General features: G+C 36.1%; 1 protein-coding gene across 10 annotated transcripts in view; it reads right to left on the bottom strand.

Annotated features, from left to right (window-relative positions):
- Window positions 1-26,299, bottom strand: part of ATRNL1 (attractin like 1) — an 855,635-nt gene that overhangs the window by 803,780 nt on the left and 25,556 nt on the right. For 9 of the 10 annotated variants that reach the window (NM_207303.4, XM_011539587.2, XM_011539588.3 and 6 more), the window contains exons 2-5: window positions 24,952-25,035; window positions 23,408-23,521; window positions 17,499-17,627; window positions 15,685-15,893 (exon numbers count right to left, since the gene is read on the bottom strand). In NM_207303.4, the coding sequence (NP_997186.1) occupies window positions 15,685-15,893; window positions 17,499-17,627; window positions 23,408-23,521; window positions 24,952-25,035 (536 nt within the window). Of the gene's footprint in view, window positions 1-15,684; window positions 15,894-16,711; window positions 16,814-17,498; window positions 17,628-23,407; window positions 23,522-24,951; window positions 25,036-26,299 lie in introns of all 10 variants that reach the window. The other variant, NR_074088.3, reaches the window with a different exon arrangement.

The raw sequence follows: 26,299 nt of genomic DNA, 5'->3' as shown, positions 1-26,299 counted from the left end.
CTCCTTATATAACCCTTGCACCACACATTTTGAAAACTCCTGGTATTATCAAAATATGTATGCTTAGAAAAGACTAACTTCAAAAATTTTAAAGACCAGATTTTTGAATAATCGTAACTGTCAAAATCATATTTCAAAAACATCTAAAATAATAAATTATAAAATAATGAAAGCATGTATGTCAAAATTTCTTCTAGGTACAAAAGTTAAACTGCCCATTTTATTAGACTGGTGCATGTATAATGCTCACAGAATATGTAAATAGTTGCCTAATATATAAATATTAATCACAAATTCAATTTTTTATTAATAAAATGTACTGAACCTCATTGCAAACAGAAGATTTTACTAAATCAAACTATTACAAAATGTCTACTTACTAAAAAGGAAACTGCTACTGTATTATCAGCCAGTCAAGCATAAACAGCAAGACACTATTTCAATTCACTTTGATCAAGTTATCATCCCAAGACTCAGACAAGGGCAAATAATCTCTTTGTATAAATAATGAAATTTATAACCAGATAGTTAATTGACTTTCCCAAGATAACTTTAATTGTGAATAGAGAATAGTTCCTCCATAAATTGAAATAACATTAAGAAATATTCATGCTAAGAATTTTCATGGCCCAGGCACGGTGGCTCACGTCTGTAATCCCAGCATTTTGGGCGGCTAAGGCGGGCAGACCACGAGGTCAGGAGTTTTGAGACCAGCCTGGCCAACGTAGTGAAACCCCGTCTCTAGTAAAAATACAAAAAATTGGCCGGGCACAGTGGCTCACGCCTGTAATCCCAGCACTTTGGGAGGCTGAGGAAGGCGGATCACGAGGTCAGGAGGTCGAGACCATCCTGGCTAACACGGTGAGACCCCATGAAACCCCGTCTCTACTAAAAAATACAAAAAATTAGACGGGCATGGTGGCAGGCGCCTGCAGTCCCAGCTACTCCGGAGGCTGAGGCAGGAGAATAGCGTAAACCCAGGAGGCGGAACTTGCAGTGAGCCGAGATCGCGCCACTGCACTCCAGCCTGGGCGACAGCATGAGACTCCGTCTCAAAAAAAAAAATACAAAAACTTAGCTGGGCGTGGTGGTGGGCACCTGTAATCCAGCTACTTGGGAGGCTGAGGCAGGAGAATCACTTGAAACTGGGAGGCAGAGGTTGCAGTGAGCCAAGATAGCCCACTGCACTCCAGCCCAGGCGGCAGTGAAAGACTCTGTCTCAAAAAAAAAAAAAAAGAAACAAAAAAAATTCTCATATTATTGACTGAATGCCTGTGTCCCTTCAAAATTTATATGTTGAAACCCTAACTCCCAACGTGATAGTATTAGTAGGTGGGGCTCTGGACAGGTAATTAGATTTAGATAAGGTTATCAGGGTAGGGTCCTCATGGTGAGATCAGTGCCTTACAAGGAGAGACCAGAGAGCTTGCTCACTCTCTCCAGCTCTCACAAGTTCACACTCTCACGTGCGTTCTCTCTCCCTCTCTCTCTCTCTGGCTCTCTCTTGCTCTCGCTCTCTCCTCCTCTCCTTCTCTCTGTCATATAAGGATAGAACAAAAAGGCAGTCATCTTGTTCGTTCTTTATGTGGCAGAGTGAGAGGGCCAGGAAGGTGGCCCTCACCATGATAGCACCCTGGTATTGGACTTCTGGTCTCCAGAACTGTGAGGAATAAATGCCAATTGTTTAAGCGACCTAATCTGTGGTATTTTGTTATAGCAGCCTGAGCTAAGATATTATGCTTTGAAGAAAATTGATAAACCATGTTAAGAGTATGGACAGGGCAATACACACTATAAAAAAAAAAAAATCCCAAGAAAGATTTAAGACCTTGGTTCTGATCAGCTGAAAATGACAAACGTAGAATTAGCTATATTGAGAGCAGGATTTGTTCATTTTACATTGTCCTATGCAGTCAGAGGCAACAAAATCTTATAAAGTCAGAGGCAACAAAATAAGTGGTTATAAATAGTTCAACATAAGGCAAGCTTATCTAAGAAAGGAATTTATATGCCTAGCACAGGATACTCTGAATTTTGTTGTGACCCACAGTTCAGTCTTTGGTTCGATTCTCTCTCTCTATGCTAACTTTCCTGGTAATCTCATCCAATTTCATCAATGGTTTCCAATTTAATATTTAAGCGAACACCTCCAAATTTATATCTACAGTACAGATCTCTCTCCATCAATTTCCAGACCCATATATCCAACTGCCTCCTCACTATCTCCTTTTGAATATCTCAAAGATATCTCTAACTTGGCATACCATAACCAAATATTCTTCCTAAAATCTTCCTCATATTAGTTGATGACAACTCTGTCTTTCCATTTGCTCAAACCAAAAACCTTAGTCATCTTTGACTCTTCTTTCCCTCACCCCCCACATCTAGACCATCAGCAAATCCTATTAATCCTGCATTAAAATCACATTCAGTATTCAAGCCATTGTCACCACCTCCATAGCTACCAACCTGTCCAAGCTACCATCATCATCATCTCTCACCTAGATTATAGCAGTAGCCTCTGAACTGGTATACTGCTACTACAGTCTATTCTCAGGTGGAAACCAATAGGAGCTTTATAAAACTAAGCCACATAATACTAATCTTCTGCTCAAAATCCTTCAATGGCTCCCTCATTTCACTTAGGGTAAGAGTCAAAATCCTCACTATGGTCTACAAAGCTAAGAATATTTAGCTGATATAGCTCCATCCTTCAGGAATCTCCATCCCCTCCAGCAACCCCTTAATTCCACATCCCCAACCATCTCCCTTGTTGTGTAACTTCTAAGTTCATATCTGACTAATCTCCCCATCAGTAATTCAATTCCAGCCACAATGGCCTTTTTACTGGTCCTTATGTACACCTGGCTTGCTCTTGCCTTAGGGTCTTTGAACTGACAGGTCTCTGCCTAGAATGTTCTTCCCCTAGATATCTATATGGTTGAACTCTCTTGCTTGCTTAAAGTCTTTTCTCACATGTCAACTTCTCCATAAAACCTAAGCATATCATCATATTTTAAATGTAACCCCCAGATCTTTCTATTCCTCTTTCTCTGTTCTACTTTAATTTTCCATTGTACTTATCACCTTCTAACATACTATATAATGTATATTTATTATTTAGGGTCTGTCTCTCCTAGCTTGAATGTAAGTTCCACAAGGATCTTTGTCTTCTTTGTTCCATGATGTATCCCAAGGACCTAGAGCAGTCTCTAGCACTTAATAGAAGCTCAAAAAAAGAAACTGTTACATTAATAAATGAAAAAGATAAATAAATGAATTCATGAAAAAGGGCTGTCATATATACATTTTAATGCTGCTTTTATTTTCAAACAGTCAACTTTCTTAGTAGGTTAAGAGTAAAAATTTAATTTTATTAGCTCTCACAAAAAAGTCAGATCTGCTGTTTTTGCTAAGTGGGAAGAATTTAACGGAATTAAACGCATTACCTGTCACTTCTCCCTCCTCAAAGTTAAAAGAGAAGAAATAGATTGACCGTGTTCATTATTATTATATTTCTAAAGGAAAATGTAAGCTACTTTATGAATTTCTACAAGGCAACCTATAATCTCATGTGTATACTATCCTAAAATAACTAAATATGTCCATATATGTTATATGACTAACCCAGATAAAATACTTCAGATAAAATATTCATGAGTTTGAGTTGAAAGTTTTTACATTTTTCTAAGTCAAACAAAACTACCAAGTTTCTACAACTTGAATGCCAGAGTTTAAGTGAGTTTTCTGGTAGTCAATACTGCCACCCAATGGCAAATGTTAAAATCTAAAACCAAAGGATTGAAACAAAATAAGACCAAGATTCCAAGAACCAATGCTTGATAAAATAACATTTTAAAAAATGTTCAAATTCAATTGCTTATCTCAATGTTCAGAAGTAATTATACAGGAAGTAAATAACATAGTTTATTAGAGTAATAACCTTATAAAACATCTCTAGTTGAATGTCTACATATCACTATACTAGTAAACTAATACATTTCTAATTCATTCATTCAATAACAACAACAAATGCAAGTGGCTAGTACATGCCATGCACTATATTAGGTTCTGGAAACCCAAAGATGATCAAAACATAATCATTCTTAACTTCTTGGAGTTTATATTCCACTGGGAAAGATAATCAAAGAATCATACAAGCACATAATTATAAACAGGGATAAATGATATAAATTTAAAAGATAGGGTCTTATGACAGCATATTACAGGGGGATCTGACCTGGACTTAGAATATGAATGGGGTAAGGGTTTTCTAGGAAGAACTTTGGAATTAAGAAAGGTCTTGAGATAGTGAAGGACAAAGAGCATCTGAGAAACTGGAGTAAGTTACAATAAAGTGTGACTTTAAATAAAGATCAGAGGCACTACGCAACAAAACTATTAAATTACATGATTTACATTTCCAGATACTGTATTTCAATCAATAATTTAAGAGTTTAAAACAGCCAACTTCAATCCTTATATGAGAACTGTAGCTGAATTGAATTAAAAAGGAATACTAAAAACATAAAAATGTCCTGAAGACATTTAAAAGAATCGAGCAATAGGATTGAGCAGGACATTCTGGAATAGAAAAGGAACAGGAACAATTTGATAACAGTTAAGCAACTCTCTTACATATAAATGATGGTGACCTGTTTTTCACTGTTCTCTGTAGAATAGGAAAAAAAATCTGTTGTAATACATTAAGAAAAAATTGTATGCTGAAGCTTGCTGGTTTGTCTCTTAACCTGTCTACCCCTACATCTAGTCCACATTACAAAGTTTCTCTGAGTAGACATGAGAGAACAAATTAGCCCATTCCTTGTTAATTATGGTAACAATCTATAGCTAAAAATATATTATTTGAATTTTTTATTTGTTTGGGAATCTCAATCATTTGAATCCCCTTTCCTGTGTTTGGGAGAATCCTTTATTGTGTGGATTTTGTCCAGAAAGAGAACCTCTTTCACTACATATAACAGAAAAGTTAAATTCCCTATTTCATATCTCTAGGCAGCCACGGTATGGACAAGACCTAGGTTTAGCCAAGCAGATACTATTAAGCAGGACTCAGTCTTAATAAGTGATGCAAAGATGTAAAGGCAATTTACAATTCTTTCTCTCCATTCCTGTAGCATGCAGTACCTACTGAAAGGGTGCCAGTGGTAGTAACCCAGGATCCTGTGGCAATGACAGGAATATCCTACTCAAACTTTCCATTGGCTTCATCTTTGCTGTAGGCTAGCCTTTATTTGTATCTGGCCTCTTTCCAACAATAGTTTATCCAGTCTTCTCATTTCTCTTGTGAGCTACTCAATATCCTTTTGTATTATTCAGAGAACAGGTTGAGTGAAGCAAAATAAGTTGCTAAAAGAAGGGAAAAGCTTATTTCTCTCTAATGAACATTCTAGAGATGAATGGGCCAGTGCTACTTATTATAGTTGTTGCCATTTATCAGCCATAGGAAAATATCTGAATGATCTAATATTTGCATACAGATTTTCTACTCACATCCTACCAATCTAAACTTAGTAACTGATATGGTTTGGTTGTGTCCTCACCCAAATCTCATCTTGAATTCCCACGTTATGGAAGGGACCCAGTAGGAGGTAACTGAAACATGGGGGTAGGTCTTTCCTGTGCTCTTCTCGTGATAGCAAGTAAGTCTCACAAGATCTGATGGTTGTAAAAAGGGGAGTTTACCTGCACAATCTTTTTTCTGTTGTCTGCCGCCATGTGAGACATGCCTTCCACCTTCCACCATGATTGTGAGGCCTCCACAACCATGTGGAACTGTAAGTCCATTAAATCTCTTTGTTTTGTAAATTGCCTGGTCTCAGGTATGTCTTTATCAGCAGTGTGAAAACAGACTAATACAGTAAATTGGTACCAGTAGAGTGGAGCGCGGCTGAAAAGATACCCGAAAATGTAGAAGTGACTTTGGAACTGCGTAACAGGCAGAGGTTGAAACGCTTTGAAAGGCTCAGAAGAAGATAGAAAAATGTGGGAAAGTGTGGACTCCCTAGAGACTTGTCGAATGACTTTGACAAAAATGCTGATAATCATATGGACAATGAAATCCAGGCTGAGGTGGTCTCAGATGGAGATGAGGAGGAACTTGTTGGGAAATGGAACAAAGGTGACTCTTGTTTTGTTTTAGCAAAGAGATTCGTGGCATTTTGCCCCTGCCCTAGAGATTTGTGGAGCTTTGAACTTGAGAAAGATGATTTAGGGTATCTGGTGGAAGAAATTTCTAAGCAGCAAAGCATTCAAGATATGACTTGGATTCTGTTAAAGGCATTCAGTTTTAAAAGGGACACACAGCATAAAAGTTTGGAAAATGTGCAGCCTGACAATGCCATAGAAAAGAAAATCCCATTTTATAAGGAGAAAGCTGGCTGCATAAATTTGCATAAGTAATGAGGAGCTGAATGTTAATCACCAAGACAATGGGGAAAATGTCTCCAGGGCACGTCAGTGGTCTTCACAGCATCGCCTCCCATCACAGGCCCAGAGGCCTATGAGGAAAAGATGACTTCATGGCTCAGGCCCAGGGCCCCCCTGCTCTGTACAGCCTAGGGACTTGGTACCCTGTATTCCAGCCACTCCAGCCATGGCTAAAAAGGGCCAAGGTACAGTTCTGGATGTTGCTTCAGAGGGTGGAAGCCCCAGGCCTTGGCAGCTTCCATGTGGTGTTGAGCCTTCAGGTACATGCAAGTCAAAAATTGAGGTTTGGGAACCTTCACCTAGATTTCGGAGGATGTATGAAAATGCCTGGATGCCCAGGCAGAAGTCTGCTGCAGGGGCAGAGCCCTCATGGAGAACCTCTGCTAGGGCAGTGCAGAAGGGAAACGTAGGGTTGGACCCCCACACAGAGTCCCTACTGGGGCACCACCTAGTGGAGCTGTGAGAAGAGGGCCACTGTCCTCAAGACCCCAGTAATGGTAGATCCACCAACAGCTTGCACCATGTGCCTGGAAAAGCCACAGACACTCAATGCCAGCCCCTGAAAGCAAGTGGGAGGTGGGACTAAACCCTGCAAAGCCACAGGAGCAGAGCTGCCCAAGACCATGGGAGCCCACCTCTTGCATCAGCGTGACCCGGATGTGAGACCTGGAGTCAAAGGAGATCATTTTGGAGCTTTAAGGTTTGACTGCACTGCTGGATTTCAGACTTGCATGAGGCCTGTGGCCCCTTTGCTTTGCCAATTTCTCCCATTTGGAATGGCTGTATTTACCCAATGGCTGTACCCTGATTGTTATCTAGGAAGTAACTAACTTGCTTTTGATTTTACAGGCTCACAGGCAGAAGGGACTTGCCTTGTCTCAGATGAGACTTAGGACTTTAGAGTTAATGCTGAAATGAGTTATGACTTCGGGGGACTGTTGGGAAGGCATCATTGGTTTTGAAATGTGAGGACATGAGATTTGGGAGGGGCCAGTGGCAGAATGATATGGTTTGGCTGTGTCCCCACCCAAATCTCATCTTGAATTCCCATGTGTTTTGGGCGGGACCCAGTAGGAGGTAACTGAATCATGGGGGCAGGTCTTTCCCTTGCTATTCTCATGATAGCAAATAAGACTCACAAGATCTGATGGTTTTAAAAAGGGGGAGCTTCCCTGTACAAGCTCTCTTATCTTGTCTGCTGCCATGTGAGACATGCCTTCCACCTTGTGCCATGATTGTGAGGCCCCCCCAGCCATGTGGAATTGTAAGTCCATTAAATCTCTTTCTTTTGTAAATTGCCCAGTCTTGGGTATGTCTTTATCAACAGCATAAAACAGACTAATACAGTAACATAGCCATACTAGCTGCAAGGCAGCATGAGAAATTTGGTATGTAGATGGAAGGCCATGTGCTGAGCTAAATGAGAATTCTATTACAATGAGAATTCTATAATGAATGCTGGGAGACAGCAGTCTCTGTCTCTGCATACTTTCCAATAACTGACTTTTCTGCTCAAGTAAGCCAGATTGTTTCTGTTGCTTTCAACCAAAGACCTCCCATCATTCAGATTTTTTTTTGAGATGGATTTTCATTCTTGTTGCCCAGGCTGGAGTGCAATGGTGCGATCTTGGCTCACAACCTCCACCTCCTGGGTTCAAGTGATTCTCCTGCCTCAGCCTCCTCAGATTTTTTAAAAGTTATATAAAACAGAGTACTTTGAAAATTACTGTTCTATTGTGTTCTTTACACATGAACATGAATTCAATTTCTTATATCTTGCTTTTCATGTGTTATAAAAATTGCTCTTCTATCCCAATGTTTGGAAGCCATTTTAAGAGATCAGTTCTTTTCAAAGTTGCCTTTTTCCCTCAGGTGACTTACTAAAATTTAAACAAATTTTACAGAAGCAACCAAGATGTCCTTCAGTAGGTGAATGGATAAACAAACTGTGGTACATCCATATAATGGAATATTATTCAGTGCTGAAAAGGAATTAGCTATCAAGCCATAAAAAGACATGGAGGAAACTTAAACATATCTTGTCAAGTCAAAAAGGCCAATCATAAAAAGCTACATACTGTATGATTACAACCATATGATATTTGGGAAAAGGCAAAATTGTGGAGACAGTAAAAAGATCAGTGGTTGGCAGGGGTAGGGAGAGGAAAGAATGAATAGGCAGAGCATAGGGGATTTTTAGGTTAAAAAAACTATTCTGTTGATACTATAATGGTGGATACATGTAATGATACATTTGTCCAAACCCACAGAATGTCCAACACTGACAGTGAATGCTAATGTAAACTATGACTTTGGTTGATAATGATTTGTCAGTGTGAGCTCATGAACTGTAATGAATATACACTCTGGTGGGAGATACTGATAATGAGAGAAGCTGTGTATGCATTGGGGCAGGAGGTAAATGGGAATTCTCTGTACCTTCTGCTCAATTTTCCTGTGAACCTCAAACTATGAAGTCTATTTTTTTTATTTTACTGTCATAGAAGCAGATGAGTCTACACAGGTCCCTATACTTTTAGTCATATATTTAATATGTATATATCATTATCTTTGACAACTATACTTTATGACAAAATTAAATATTATACAACAAACTTGTGTGCCCTCGAGTAGTCCCAGCTACTCTAAAGGCCAAGGTGGGAGGATCACTGGAGCCCAGGAGTTTGAGACCAGTCTGAGCAACATAGAAAGATCTCATCTCTAAAAAAAAAAAACAATTTAATTAGCTGGGAATGGTGGTGTGCAACCTGTGGTGCCAGCTACTCCGGAGGCTGAGTTGGGAGGATCATTTCAGCATGGAAGGTCAACGCTGCAAGAGCTGCGATCATGCCACTGCACTCTAGCCTGAGCCACAGAGTGAGATCCTATCTCCAAGAAAAAGAAAAACCAAAGAAAAAAAAATGACACACAAGACCAGGTAGGTTAAGCAAAAGAGAAATGTTAGGAAGGAACTCAAGACTTAACATACTTTGAAGTCAGGGAGCGTGATGCCTCCAGCTTTGTTCTTTTGGCTTAGGATTGACTTGGCAATGCAGGCTCTTTTTGGTTCCATATGAACTTTAAAGTAGTTTTTTCCAATTCTGTGAAGAAACTCATTGGTAGCTTCATGGGGATGGCACTGATCTATAAATTACCTTGGGCAGTATGGCCATTTTCACAATATTGATTCCTCCTATCCATGAGTATGGAATGTTCTTCCATTTGTTTGTATCCTCTTTTATTTCGTTGAGCAGTGGTTTGTAGTCCTCCTTGAAGAGGTCCTTCACGTCCCTTGTAAGTTGGATTCCTAGGTATTTTATTCTCTTTGAAGCAGTTGTGAATGGGAGTTCACTCATGATTTGGCTCTCTGTTTGAATGTTATTGGTGTATAAGAATGCTTGTGATTTTTGCACATGATTTTGTATCCTGAGACTTTGCTGAAGTTGCTTATCAGCTTAAGGAGATTTTGGGCTGAGATGATGGGGTTTTCTAAATATACAATCATGTCATCTGCAAACAGGGACAATTTGACTTCCTCTTTTCCTAATTGAATACCTTCTATTTCTTTCTCCTGCCTGATTGCCCTGGCCAGAACTTCCAACACTATGTTGAATAGGACTGGTGAGAGAGGACATCCCTGTCTTGTGCCCGTTTTCAAAGGGAATGCTTCCAGTTTTTGCCCATTCGGTATGATATTGGCTGTGGGTTTGTCATAAATACCTCTTATTATTTTGAGATACATCCCATCAATACCGAATTTATTGAGAGTTTTTAGCATGAAGGGCTGTTGAATTTTGTCAAAGGCCTTTTCTGCATCTATTGAGATAATCATGTGGTTTTTGTCTTTGGTTCTGTTTATATGCTGGATTACGCTTATTGATTTGCATATGTTGAACTAGCCTTGCATCTCAGGGATGAAGCCCACTTGATCATGGTGGATAAGCTTTTTGATGTGTTGCTGGATTCGGTTTGCCAGGATTTTATTGAGGATTTTTGCATTGATGTTCATCAGAGATATTGGTCTAAAATTCTCTTTTTTTGTTGTGTCTCTGCCAGGCTTTGGTATCAGGATGATGCTGGCCTCATAAAATGAGTTAGGGAGGATTCCCTCTTTTTCTATTGATTGAAATAGTTTCAGAAGGAATGGTACCAGCTCCTCCTTGTACCTCTGGTATAATTCACCTGTGAATCCGTCTGGTCCTGGACATTTTTTGCTTGGTAAGCTATTAATTATTGCCTCAATTTCAGAGCCTGTTTTTGGTCTATTCAGAGATTCAACTTCTTCCTGGTTAGTCTTGGGAGGGTGTGTGTGTCGAGAAATTATCCATTTCTTCTAGATTTTCTAGTTCATTTGCATAGAGGTGTTTATAGTATTCTCTGATGGTTGTTTGTATCTCTGTGGGATCTGTGGTGATATCCCCTTTATCATTTTTTATTGCATCTATTTGATTCTTCTCTCTTTTCTTCTTTATTAGTCTTGCTAATGGTCTATCAATTTTGTTGATCTTTTCAAAAAACCAGCTCCTGGATTCACTGATTTTTTGAAGGGTTTTGTGTCTCTATCTCCTTCAGTTCTGCTCTGATCTTAGTTATTTCTTGTCTTCTGCTAGCTTTTGAATGTTTTTGCTCTTGCTTCTCTAGTTCTTTTAATTGTGATGTTAGGGTGTCAATTTTAGATCTTTCCTGCTTTCTGTTGTGGGCATTTAGTGCTATAAATTTCCCTCTACACAATGCTTTGAATGTGTCCCAGAGATTGTGTGTCTTTGTTCTCATTGGTTTCAAGAACATCTTTATTTCTGCCTTCATTTCGTTATGTACCCAGTAGTCATTCAGGAGCAAGTTGTTCAGTTTCCATGTAGTTGAGCAGTTTTGAGTGAGTTTCTTAATCCTGAGTTCTAGTTTGATTGCACTGTGGTCTGAGAGACAGCTTGTTATAACTTCTGTTCTTTCACATTTGCTGAGGAGTGCTTTACTTCCAACTATGTGGTCAATTTTGGAATAAGTGCAATGTGGTGCTGAGAAGAATGTATCTTCTGTCGAATTGGGGTGGAGAGTTCTGTAGATGTCTATTAGGTCCGCTTGGTGCAGAGCTGAGTTCAATTCCTGGATATCGCTGTTAACCTTCTGTCTATTGATCTGTCTAATATTGACAGTGGGGTGTTAAAGTCTCCCATTATTATTGTGTGGGAGTCTAAGTCTCTTTGTGGGCCTCTAAGGACTTGCTTTATGAATCTGGGTGCTCCTGTATTGGGTGCATATATATTTAGGATAGTCAGCTCTTCTTGTTCAATTGATCCCTTTACCATTAAGTAATGGCCTTCTTTATCTCTTTTGATGTTTGTTGGTTTAAAGTCTGTTTTATCAGAGACTAGGATTGCAACCTCAGGCTTTTTTTGTTTTCCATTTGCTACCCGACTTCAAACTATATTACAAGGCTATAGTAACCAAAACAGCATGGTACTGGTATCAAAACAGAGATATAGACCAATGGAACAGAACAGAGCCCTCAGAAATAATACCACACATCTACAACCACCTGATCTTTGACAAACCTGACAAAAACAAGAAATGGGGAAAGGATTCCCTATTTAATAAATGGTTCTGGGAAAACTGGCTAGCCATATGTAGAAGGCTGAAACTAGATCTCTTCCTTACATCTTATACAAAAAATAATTCAAGATAAATTAAAGACTTAAATGTTGGACTGAAAACCATAAAAACCCTAGAAGAAAACCTAGGCAATACCATTCAGGACATAGGCATGGGCAAGGACTTCATGTCTAAAACACCAAAAGCAATGGCAACAAAAGCCAAAATTGGCAAATGGGATCTAATTAAACTAAAGAACTTCTGCACAGCAAAAGAAACTACCATCAGAGTGAAAACGCAACCTACAGAATGGGAGAAAATTTTTGCAATCTACTCATCTGACAAAGGGCTAATATCCAGAATCTACAAAGAACTCCAACAAATTTACAGGAAAAAATCAAACAACCCCATCAAAAAGTGGGTGAGGGATATGAACAGACACTTCTCAAAAGAAGACATTTATGCAGCCAAAAGACACATGAAAAAATGCTCATCATCACTGGCCATCAGAGAAATGCAAATCAAAACCACAATGAGATACCATCTCACACCAGTTAGAATGGCGATCATTAAAAACTCAGGAAACAACAGGTGCTGGAGAGAATGTGGAGAAATAGGAACACTTTTACACTGTTGGTGGGACTGTAAACTAGTTCAACCATTGTGGAAGACAGTGTGGCAATTCCTCAAGGATCTAGAACTAGAAATACCATTTGACCCAGCCATCCCATTACTGGGTATATACCCAAAGGATTATAAATCATGCTGCTATAAAGACACATGCACACATATGTTTATTGCGGCACTATTCACAATAGCAAAGACTTGGAACCAACCCAAATGTCCATCAATGATAGACTGGATTAAGAAAATGTGGCACAAATACACCATGGAATACTATACAGCCATAAAAAATGATGAGTTCATGTCCTTTGTAGGGACATGGATGACGCTGGAAACCATCATTCTCAGCAAACTATCGCAAGGACAAAAAACCAAACACCGCGTGTTCTCACTTATAGGTGGGAATTGAACAATGAGAACACTTGGACACAGGAAGGGGAACATCCCACACTGGGGCCTGTTGTGGGGTGTGGGGAGGGGGGAGGGATAGAATTAGGAGATACACCTAATGTAAGTGACGTGTTAATGGGTGCAGCACCCCAACATGGCACATGTATACATATGTAACAAACCTGCACGTTGTGCACATGTGCCCTAGAACTTAAAGTATAATAAAAAAATAAAAATAAAAATAAAAAAAGGACTTAATATAAAGCTAGGTTTTTCCTCTGTGTTATCTTAATAAAACCCAAGTTTCTAGAGGGTAACACTCATTTTTAAAAAATATACATTAGGCATACAGCCAAACAGAATAAGTAGTCAAGCAACAACAAAGGATAAAATATAATGGAGGTAACAACAATCTGTTACTCTAACCTAAATAATCCAGTTCCAAATAACACCTTGTATAAAACTACCAGATTTTGAACCTCATAAAGATTGCCTCGGCAGTCCGCATTTTCACATGTCTCTCATTCTTTGATCATTCCCCATTTGTCCTAGAAGCAAATCTATCTCCTCTTCTTACCTCACTGATTCCTTCCCATTCTATATATATCTGAAATAAAAACATCATTTTCCCCTAAATGAGTTTGCTCACAATCCTACCTTCTTTGGAGCTATGCTTCCTTAAATACAGAATCAGGATCAGTTTGAGGCACAAAGTAACCAGTCTGCACATAATTTGTCTTGAAAACACCATATTATCTCATTTACAAGGCCTCCTTCAAACATATCAATTCAGAAATCATTTCCTTAATTATTAAGAAAATGGTATAAAATTGTCTTATTTCTGCGTTTTATAATTTACAAAGCACTTTCACACTATTCTCCATATAAAATATATATGTAGTTATAAATATATGTGTATATATGCATACACACACACATACACACACACAGACAAGTAGTTCTTAGACTACTGATAATATAACTTTGCTTTAAAAGTGAACATACCCAGTATTTGCTTCCTCATTTCCATTTGCTTATAGACATATTAGATTCAGGAATTCTTATGATTTGGGACATTACAGATGAGAATAATAGGATATGAAAAGGCCAAAAAACAAAGGCCAGAAAAAAATTCTTAATACTTTGAATCAGATCTATATTACAAGACTTACACAAAATAAAGCATTTCAAAGAAGGACTAATGAAAGTAAGTAAAAAACAGAAAAGGGGCAGAGTTGTTCACAGAGAATGTTATACAAATGTATTCCTCATTTGCTTTTAAGACTGCTGAAATGAGGTGGAGACTAATAGCAATTGAAGACCAGTTTGAAAAATACTGTGTATATGAGCTATATTTCTATTTCTCAGGCCTTAAATCAAATATAATATGGATACACCACTGTCTCTATAGAAAAGACAGTTATTTTAGTTTCACGACAGAAATGAAAATAAAATTACATCTCAAGGCACTTTTGGGGGGAAGAAAAGTCATAAATGATTAAAAGAGTCACTTAAAATACATGTCCCTGTAATTACAAAACATTTAGAAATTTGCATCTGACATAATTGCAATTGGTAACCAAATTCGATTTAATAAGAAATCATAGATCTTTTGTGCAGTTGACATACCTAATATTTTTTAATGAGCTAACATGAGCTTAAGACAGGCATAATTTACACAAAGCCTAAAATAATTCCTCTAAGTAAGTACTCAACATACCCAACAACACTTTTTTGAAAAGGTCATCTCAGGAATAATGAATACAACTTCATGAAGAGTATGTTCTCTTTGGTTTTTAACTTGGGAACTATTGCTACTATTTATTACACTGTGTTATAATAATACATAATCAAGTACTTCAGGTTATGTAATTATTGAGTCAAATTTCCCTATTTCAACAGGATTAATATGTTGGCACAAAGGAAGCTCTTCATAGGTAAATGTAACTAGCAAAAAGTAAGCTCTAGGTGGGTAGGTATATGTATAAGCATATCTCTTAATTTCATAATGACAATATTTATTATTTTATATACAGATAAATAAGCCAACATTCTTCACTGTAGTCTAAACTTAATCTTTGATGATAGATATTTATAAAAATTACTTAGAAATTCTTTCCTAGGTATCTGACTTCTGCAATAGGCAGCTAAAATACTTTTAAAAATAGTCTAGTTCTTTTTAAAATAGCCACAAGATGTCAGCCTTTCCTAAGAAATAAGTTTCATATACTGCAGTCCCTTTGAACATTTATTTTTGTAGTATACTATTTATATTACCCTTATAAATCAAATTTGAATGCACCACATTAAATTCAGTGAAGTCACCAAATTTGGGGAGATTCAACAACAAATTACAGAAGACCATAATTATCACACACCTAACAATTCAGTTTCATATATAACTTCATTTGATCTTCAAAGTAGTATGGAGACAAAATCTTTGCCAATTAATTCTATTTGTGACAAAAAAATTATTAAGAAGTTGATTATTAATCTGAACATTCTAAAAATAAAAGTAAATATATAAGGCTTGGGTGTGCAAACTATAACGAAACAAACGTGTGGAATTTGTATTAATCTATTACATATATGAATCAATGTTTCAAAAGCCATCACACCACACATGCTTACCTTGCCAACTATCATTGCAGACACATAATTTTTCTCCAGTCAGGTCACAGTAACCGTGATCTGGACTGCCGCAATTGGCTTTACAGTAAGGAATATCACAAGCTTCACCCTTCCAGTATTTATCACATTCACAATATACTTGACTTGGAACAGAGACACTAGTTGTACACTTCCCATGACCAGAGCAATTGTTAGGACAAGAATTGATTCTGTAAAATATAATTCATATATATTCAGATTCAAGGTAATTGAAAAAGAATTTTGGTTGATACATCATAAACTTTATAATTTTTATACTGTGTCCTATGTGCTTATAAATGTAACAGAATTTCACAATGTAGTTTTAATTCTTTACTCTGTACCCTCTTACTCTTATGAAATTGTTAGTATTTATTTGCAGTTGGTCTTATTTTATTCAACAGATTTACTTTGATACCAAGACTCCAAATGTCTAACGACTACATGCTCAACATCTGCAGGATCTGTACGGTTCCAGGCAAAATGTTTTGTAAAGACTTAAGTACTCAATGTTTTGATTGTATATTTTACAGAAAAAAATTAAATTCATGAAAATTCAAAACTATATGAGAAGTCAAGATATAACTTGGTTGTATAATATAAAAGAGCATGCTATCACCCATACACTGTTATTGAAGAAAAGGTATGTTTATCATATTTAGCTTTAAGACTCTTTTTTTTTTTTTTTTTTGAGACACAGTCTCGCTCTGTCGCCCAGGCTGGAATGCAGTGGTGCGATCTCGGCTCACTGAAAGCTCCGCCTCCCAGGTTCACACCATTCTCCTGCCTCAGCCTCCCGAGTAGCTGGGACTACAGGCGCCCGCCACCATGCCTGGCTAATTTTTTTGTATTTTTAGTAGAGACAGGGTTTCACCGTGTTAGCCAAGATGGTCTTGATCTCCTGACCTCGTGATCTGCCCGCCTCGGCCTCCCAAAGTGCTGGGATTACAGGCGTGAGCCACCATGTGATTATATTCTACTATATATTTGTTCTCCCTTGCATACATACTTGGATACGTTGTAGGATAAATAAATTCCATAATAAATTGCTGATTCAAGGATATTTATAATATTTCTGGTGAAAAATTCTCTGGTTACCAATTTCTACATTCTGAAGAAAAGAAAAAAATAATATATAGACTTCCTCTCTAGCCATTCCTGTGAAAGCATCTCTCATTACTTCACCCTCAGTCTTCTAGATATAAAAATGTATATAAAGTATCAGGCATATAATAGATTCTCAATGAATATTACTTTTCTTATTTTAGAGGAGATAGTGGTATAGCCACTTAACTCTTAAGCCACAATTTCCTCATGTGTCAATGGGAAATATACCCACTTGACAGAATTGAAGGTAATTAAATGACATAATGTATGCATAGCTTTCAGTACAGTCTCTGCAATAGGGACTACAAAAACTTAGCTCCCATAATCCTCTTCAAATTACAAGTGATATACCTTAGAGCACTGAAAGGCAGTTCACAACTCCCTGCAGTCTCACCACATCTGTTGCTACCAGTAAAGCTACACTAGTACTTGTTTACTTAATCACTTGCCAAAAAACAATTGTCAATTTCATAATTAATTTTCAACCAAACTTATAGGTTTAGATCACGTTTTGTGGCATATTATTAAGATTTTATGTCACTTAAGAAGGGATCCTGCCTACTAATTTGAAATTTAACACGGTAGCCTGCTTCTGGTATACAAGACATTAATAAAAATAAACAAAAAAAACCTCTTTTACATTAAATTACAAGAATCATTAAAAGAAGGAATTTTTAAAAAATACTTACGAATAGAAAATGTTGAAACCAGTTAGATTATACGCAGCATCACTAAAAAAATGTAACAGTGCATAGCCAGATGTAGTAACAACTTCAGGCACAGTTTCATTGCCCCTTATTTCAGGGACTATCAAACCACTAAAAGAGAACAAAACTGAATATTGTATGTATAGATATACATAAGACTGTTAAGCACATAAAATTTACTCAGAAATATTCTTACCAGGATCAGTAATGCTTGTACGTCAGAATGGGCAACTAAAAGGAGAATACATCTAAAAGAAGTCCCTATCCATTTCTCACTAAATTAGTTCTACTACTGCTGCCAATACACTAAAATCTACTCTCATGCCACTGTACCCCATTTTTTTTCTTATCACTATTTGTAAGGCAATGTCTCATTTCTCCTTTTTGTCCTGCTATCCATCCTGTCATAATACTACAGGGTAGTCTTCCACTTAATTCATATAAAACTTCACTTAAAGTCACCTTGCTACTCTAATAAAACCCTGTACCTTTACTCATTCTGATTGGTTTAAAAATCCGATGAAGCTGGAAGACACTCTACATCAGTTAAGCAATTACAATTACATTCTAGTTATAGCTGTACATTTCCAATACATTTATCTAGGTGATTTAAAATATTTACTTCAAAAAATTTAAAACTATATAGACTTTAATGTTTTTCTAATTTTGCATATCTATGCAAATTGCATTAATATATAACTATTCCAAGACAGAATATTGCTCACATAAGCCCATAAGCACACAAACAAAAACTTGGGGTGGGGGAGATATAAATGTACAAAATAGTTTTAAACTGGTAACTTGTACTTCTTTTTAAGGATACTTGTTCATGAGGAAAATTACCTATCTTCATTTAGTTATATGTTCTAACCTCTCTAAATCTATGAAAACATGCAATTGGTGAAAGAAAAGAAGCTGCTAACAAACAAATTATATAACTCGACACGGTCAATTCCTTTAAACAGTTAAAATTATGTTTAGGTACCACTAAGAACTGAATTCCCCCATTCAAATCATATTTGACACATAAATGAAATATTATAGTCAAATAATTGATTTAGAAAATACATTCTCAAATGCAAACAAGTTAAAAAGTAATCAACTCTTGATTTAACGCTTTAGTAATTATTATTACATCTACTAGGTTATGTTTGTGAAGCAACAAATGATTTTAAAATGAGACTCTCAAAACAATACAAACCCTATGACACCAGTCTTAAGTTATACATACATATTGTTCATTGTAATAAAATTATATAAAGGTGAGTATTACTAAAAATAGGTCTTTATAATAGATACAGCTAGTCTCTGAGCGCTCTCTGAAAAAGATAAAAAGAATAGGTCTGGGCCAGGCGCAGTGGCTCATGCCTGTAATCCCAGTACTTTGGAAGGTGGAGGCAGGCGGATAACGAGGTCAAGAGATCAGGAACATCCTGGCCAACACAGTGAAACCCCATTTCTACTAAAAATACAAAAAAATCAGGTGGGCACGGTGGTGCATGCCTGTAGTCTCAGCTACTCGGGAGGCTGAGGCAGGAGAATCGCTTGAACCTGGGAGGTGGAGGTTGCAGTGAGCCGAGATCACACCACTGCACTCCAGCCTGGTGACAGAGCGAGACTCCGTCTCAAAAAAACAAACAAACAAAAAAGAATAGATCTGTTTGGTTTTTTGTTTACAAGTATTTTAAAAACAATAAATAAAAGAGAGTTTCCACTTCCTGTATAATACACCAGGAAATTCGGACCAACTGAAATCTAGTAAAATGACAAATTATATAAAAACAAAAAAATCAGCTTGAAGGCCTGCCCAGGCATTGAGGTCATTTACCCTATTGGCATTTGCTGATTTCAAGGCTGGAGGTAAGATTTGAAGGGCTAAAAAAAACTCGGTGGTAATTTCAGGGATTTTACAGAATGAAGGAAAGAAAAAGTGAAACACAAGGCCTTCACGTTGAACTGGGACTCCAATGGTTGGAAGTGAAAGCAAACTACCTAAAGTTAGGCCCTCCAAAGGACTGCACTGCAGCTGAGCTATGAATCACCTCAGTATCTGAGTTTGGATTGAGTTGAATATGGATTGCGAGTGTCCCCAGGTAGTCTCTGCAAGAATATAATCTTTCTAGGCCTCAAATTATTACTATATATGATTTTCCAAACAACAACGTCCAACACACAATTGTCCAGCACACAGTAAAAAAAAAAAAAAATAACACTTCTCCATTCCAATGCATTCTCCACATTCTAAAAACTCTTGCCTACAGAATAAAAGCCCAACTTCTTTAGTGTGGTGTACAAGCAAGCAATATTACAGTGATTAAGGGATTAGGACCTATAATTACATAACCTTGATTCATATTCTGACTTACCAGCTAGGCAACCTTCGGGCCACTCACAGAAAATCTCTGTGTCTCAATTCTGCATTTGTAAAATTACAATATTAATACCTACCTAAAGGTTATTTTGAGGATTAAATAAACTAATGCATATAAAGAACTCCTGTACATTGGCACAAAATGAGCACTAAGTAAATGTCACTGATTGCTGTTTTGGGGTAATGTGACTCCTACGTATCCTTCACAGTTCCTACAATCAAGTTACTCAAAACTTTCAACTATTGCCCTAAAATATAATGCTCTTTAATGTGTCTATACCTTTGTATATATGCTTTTCTCTCCCTAGAATGTCCTATCTGACCCCCATACTTCATACTTTTACTCACGATGAAAGTCAACATGAAGGATTAGTTATTTATTTTGAAATTATATAGAACTCCTTCATAACCTGATTGTAACACTAACTAGGCTGTGTGAAAAATCTGTTTACATACCCCCACTAATGCATGACTACTGCATACTAAAGAATTTGGCTGGCTTTTGTCCCCAGTTCTTGGGACATAACCTCTAAATTCTTGAAATTTCCTGAGTGATGGGAGTGTCTTCCTATTCATGGTGAGCCCTGAAAATTTATGCCAATGAGGTGACTCATGGTGGGCCCCTAATTAATTTAAGCTAAAGATATAATTCAGAATAGGGGATGGCCACTCCAGAAACACTAACCATGTGATTAAAATGTTGGGGCCATATGGTATTAGCCTAACTTCCCGAGAGAGAAGGGGATGGGAGGGGCTGGAGATTTGAGTTCAGCCTCATGGCCAATGATTCAATCACTCATGGCTACATAATGAAACTTCAATAAAACTCTGGACACCTGAAGCTCAGATGAGCTTCCCTGTTGGTGATACATGTTGATGTGCTGGGTGGGTAACACATTCTGAGGACCCAGAAGCTTTGCATTTATGATCCTCCCAGACCTCACTCTATGCATCCCTTTATTTGGCTGGCTCTGATTTCTATCCTTCATGATAAAACTATAGTCATAAGTGTAGAACTTTCCTGAGTTCTATGATAATTCTAGTGAATTATCAAACTTTTAGGACAGAGTAGGAACCCCTAAATATGTAGCCAGATGGTCAGAGTAGGTGGGGAGCACCAAGCTTGCAGCTAGTGTCTGAAATGACAGCAGTGTTATAGAGCAGCAATCCCCAACCTTTTTGGAACCAGAGACCAGTTTCATGGAAGACAAAATTTCCACAGACCGGGGGAGGATGATTTTGGGATGATTCAAGCATATTACATTTATTATGCACTTTATTTCTATTATTATTACATTGTAATATGTAATCAAATAATTATACAACCCGCCATAATGTAGAATCAGTGGAAGCCCTGAACTTGATTTCCTGCAACTAGATGGTCCCATCTGGGGCTGATGGGAGACAGTGACAGACCATCAGGCATTAGAACCTCATAAGGAATGAGCAACCTAGATCCCTCACATGCACAGTTCACAGTAGGGTCTGTACTCCTATGACAATCTAATGCCGCTGCTGATCTGACAGAAGGTGGAGCTCAGGCAGTAATGCAAGCAGTGGGGAGCAGCTGTAAATAAAGATGAAGCTTTGCTCACTTGCCCGCCACTCACTTCCTACTGTGTAGCCCTGTTGCTAACAGGCCATGGACTGGTACGGGGATCTGGGGTGGAGAGGAGACCCTTGTTGTAGAGGACTGTGCTCTTAACCTAGGAAATCTGTTCTAGCCCAACTGCAGGTAGTTGGTGTCTAAAGCCACTGCGATAGCCTATGCCTTCTTCCTTACTATGTACTCTAAGCCTGTGACACAGTCTCTGTAATTAAATGTTGAGTAATAAATATTTATACAATTGAAGTAATTCAAACATATTAGATTCTGAATTCTTAGCAAGATGAAGTACAAACAGCATATGCTTTTAAATCAGGAGATTGAGATTCAAGTCCTAATCCTAGCTCTACCATCTATTAGAAGCAAATAACTTCTCTGAATGTCAATTTTCTCAACTGTAAAATGGGGATAATAGTACTTAGTACTCCCCCAACGAGATCTTTGTGAGGATTAGATGACATTTAAACTGCCTAGCCTAGTGCTTAACATCAAGTGGATATTCAATATCAATAAACATGAGTTTTCCATTTCCCTTAGGAGGGCTAACAAGAACACTTGCTAATGAGAAATCACTAATTCCATCTTCACAGCCATATACTAAATCTCACCTGCTAATTATCTTCCTTTAATAACAAGAAAATGTTGGTAAGAATGCTAATGGATGAGTATTAATACAAAGTAATTAGAATTACTAGACAAACAAATGAACAGGCACACATCTAAATGATGGTCAGTCAACGGTATCATAAAAATAGAGTAAAGATAGCAAAGTGATGTTTAAATTGCTAAAAATAAATGTATGAACTGAGGATCAAATTTAATTGTTACAATAAATTATCTTACAACCTAATTATTTGCAAGGCTCCACTCTATTTTCTCTCTATTGTCCTTAGATGAAGGGCTGCTTATGGCTATCCTTTTTCTAATGTTCAAATGACTCAAAAATGTAAGCAATAGCAATATCATAGAATAAGTACCTAAGCTCCTAAGGAAATACAAGTCGTTACATTTTTGTCCAAAATAATAATTCACATTCCTGATAAAATAGAACAAAATAAAATGTATTAGAATAGAATGAAATAGAATATTTGCCACATGAATAATAAAAAGAAAAATTGGAAAGAAAATATTTTGAAGGGACCAATAAGCTTTTATCCATACTTAAATTTCCAGCAATGACAGAACATATAACAGATATTGTATAAATAGCAAAAGTAAATAATATAATGAGTAACTTATCAACAATCATGTTAAATTATATATAAAATCTATACATGTTCATAATTTTTTCTGTGTCTAATAGATTTTCTCCTATTCACGAAACTTTTTATAATAATCTAAACATACACAAGAAAAGATTTTTAAATTGATACAATGCTATAATTTTAAAATTAATAATCTACCTTACGACTAACAATAAAATATTTTGAAACAAATAAAACTCTCACATTTTGACAATTGGTAGAAACTCCATCTTTATTAATCATTGCACAAAGCATAACTTAACCCTTTTATGCAGAATTTAAAATTTTACCATTTCACTAAAATAAAAAAACAACTATTAAAAAACAAAACTTGTCTATTTATTTGTCAGCTAGAACTCACGCTAATATATCCAGATAGTTCTGAAAACATATTCAAGGCACTTTAAAAGAATAAACTAAATACAATGAGAATAAAAAATATTTAGAAAGAAATCTATATTTCCAATATAGTACTTATTTATGTTATATCAATATTTACATAATTATTACCTAAATTGACAGTTACAGCACATAACAAAGTATTATAATCATCTGTGAAATGTAACTATCAATATCTTTACTAAATTTATTTTGCAGTACATATCAATATATATTTAAAGAAGCAATTACACAGTCACTTTTCTGCAACTGATTAAATATAATTACTCACCTAAGTACAGCTATTAAAGGTGCATATATTGAATCTCCATCATAAACATACATATGATCCCAGCTACATTCTGTAGCAAAATGATTGAATCTTAATCTTAACACTGCATTTGGACTGAAAATGAATATGAAATATTTTTCAAATTAAAATATACAAAGCACAGAGTGAATAAATACATAATATTTATTATATAATATACAAAGCACAGAGTGAAGAAACTTTAGATAGGGTATTTTATTAGAAATCTGTTTATAGATAATTTTGCTATAAATCCTTATCAGGGTGAAAGATTGATAAGCCATCATATCTAATTTGTACAAATAAAATGTAACTTTCAAAATCTATTAACAGGACATATGTATGTATCATTGTTTTCTAAAAATGTAGTCAATAAAAAATGTTCAGCCAGGTGCAGTGGCTCTCGCCTGTAATCCCGGCACTTTGGGAGGCCAAAGCAGGCAGATCACGAGGTCAGGAGATCAAGACCATCCTGGCCAACATGGTAAAACCCATTTCTACTGAAAATACAAAAATTAGCTGCGCATGGCGGCATGCACCTCTAGTCCCAGCTACTCAGGAGGCTGAGGCAGGAGAATTGCTTGAACTCAGGAGGCAGAGGCTGCAGTGAGCCGAGATCGCACCACCGCACTCCAGCCTGGGTAACAGAGTGAGGCTCTGTCTCAAAAAAAAAAAATCTTTCTCTTGATTGAAGGCAGAGGTTACATAGACTGTATACATCACTGAAACCTTATGGAACTGTACACTTAAAAATGGGTGCATTTTGTTGTATACAAATGGTACTTAAATAAAGTTGATTTTTAAAAATCAACACTCAAGAAGCCACTATTCTTATTTTTACAGAACCCTTAAGTTGGAGGCACTAAAAAACTATTTAAATTTTAATCAAAATTCTCAATGTGATATAATGTTAACAAATAAACAAAATGTAACTACAGGTGCACAGCAGAGAATGAACAGCTTTTAAGTTAGAAAAATTTAAATACAAAATTTTCCAAATATACTCTTTAGAAATTACAAAACAGTTCAAAAATAATTCATATCAATTCTTTTATGCTCCATTCACAATACATTTAAATAGATAGATTGTTTCAAGCCCTACTTACTGAAAATACCTCTAAATGAATAATTAACTCTCTCTTCTACAAAATGTTCTTTTAAAAATACCCTTTGAACTAAAATGCTAAATTATATGAATAGCATAGCTCAGCAAGAAATACTTTTATAATTTCTAAGTCTTCAAATTTCATAACAAGATGTTCAAAATAAACCAAAAAAATGCCTACTCAATTTAATACCACAATAACATAACTCAAAAACAAAATATATATAAAAATTAAACTACTGTCACAAGTGAAGAGGTAGTGTAATTTACATTAAATGTGATGTCTAGAAGTTGTAAATATTATCTAATAATAAACAAACTAAATGATAAAGTAATTATACTCTAATGCTCTGACATTAATATGATCACCTTTATCATTTAAGAATAAAATACATTAATTTGACTCAGACTGTATACTTACTAGCCTTCAATGAGCCAAGTACATTTAGTTTTATATTTATAGTTAATTGGGCCATCTGTTAAATATCCAGAAGGTTCTGTTAACCTGGAAGAGAAAATAAAATAATGAAAATAATTACCTTAAAATAACTTTAAGACATATAGCAGGATAAGAAAATTTAAAAGTCATTAAGCCAAAGGAACGGGACATAACAATTTTCAAAAAGGAGGATTTATTTACAACTTAGGAAAATTTCAAAGTGCTGTATTTTTCTCTGCATCTCAAAAGATACTTATTTTGGATTTCTTTAAATCTTAATATATCATGACCATTTCAATTTACGAAGCGAAAAAAGACACTGAAAGACTGAACATAGTACTGAAGGATTCAATGTTGATGCAAAATAGAGTAAGTTAAACTTCATCTGCACAAAAATTAGGTTGAGGCAGAAGGAAGATCAAATACAAATCTATGGAATAGAGAAAAAGTATACGTATGTTCCACTTTGGGGAGTTAGCATGTAAGCTATATTTTTTCTTCATGTACTGGTATTGCTAAAATAGGTGTCACCAAACTTGAAAGAGTTCTGCTATAAATATATTTTTTATTATCATTTTCTCCTGTCTACTTTACATCTAGTCCAAGAACTCAATTTTTAAAACAGGACAAATAAAAAAAATTGTATCTTCTATTTTATGCATAAAAAAGAAAAAGATATTTGGAAAAACTCTATTTTCAGAAATTAAAAATCTTTAAAACAAAAATCTCAATTCTGCTTCATTTTGTTTTTTTTACTTCCAGCCCAATTATTTTATCAAGAGACCATATTTTAAAGAATTAAAATGTCTTCCCATTTAACATTTATATACTATACTTATATATGCAAACACACACACATCACAGCTAATCAGTTTTTACATATTCACATAAACATACACACACACACATATACATATCAGGGCCATTATCTACTTTTAGATAAAATTAAATTTTCCTTATAGTATAGAGCCTTAAATACATTAGGGGGGAAAAACTTTAATTTACCTAAATCAGGGTTGACAGAAATGTCAGTCAATGTTAATGTCATTTGCAAATCTTTCATAATCCCTGCAAATTACTTTTGTAATAAAGTGGCTAATTCATGCTTGGAAAATCTTTGAAGAGCAACAAATTCCTATATTCTCAAATAAATGTAATAATAACTTAAGCATTTTCTACATGTCAGGTACCACTATAAACACAATGTGTTGCCTCATTTAAAAATCTCAAAAAACCTATAAGATAGTAAATAATTAATAACTCCATATTACAGATGAGAAGTCTGAAGCACATTTTAAGTAACAAGTTAAATAACTTGCCCTGATTTTTC

Source organism: Homo sapiens, chromosome 10 (genome assembly GCF_000001405.40).
Source record: "Homo sapiens chromosome 10, GRCh38.p14 Primary Assembly".
NCBI lineage: Eukaryota > Metazoa > Chordata > Mammalia > Primates > Hominidae > Homo > Homo sapiens.
Note: the sequence above shows the minus strand (reverse complement) of the source record. Positions and strands in the feature narration are given on the sequence as shown.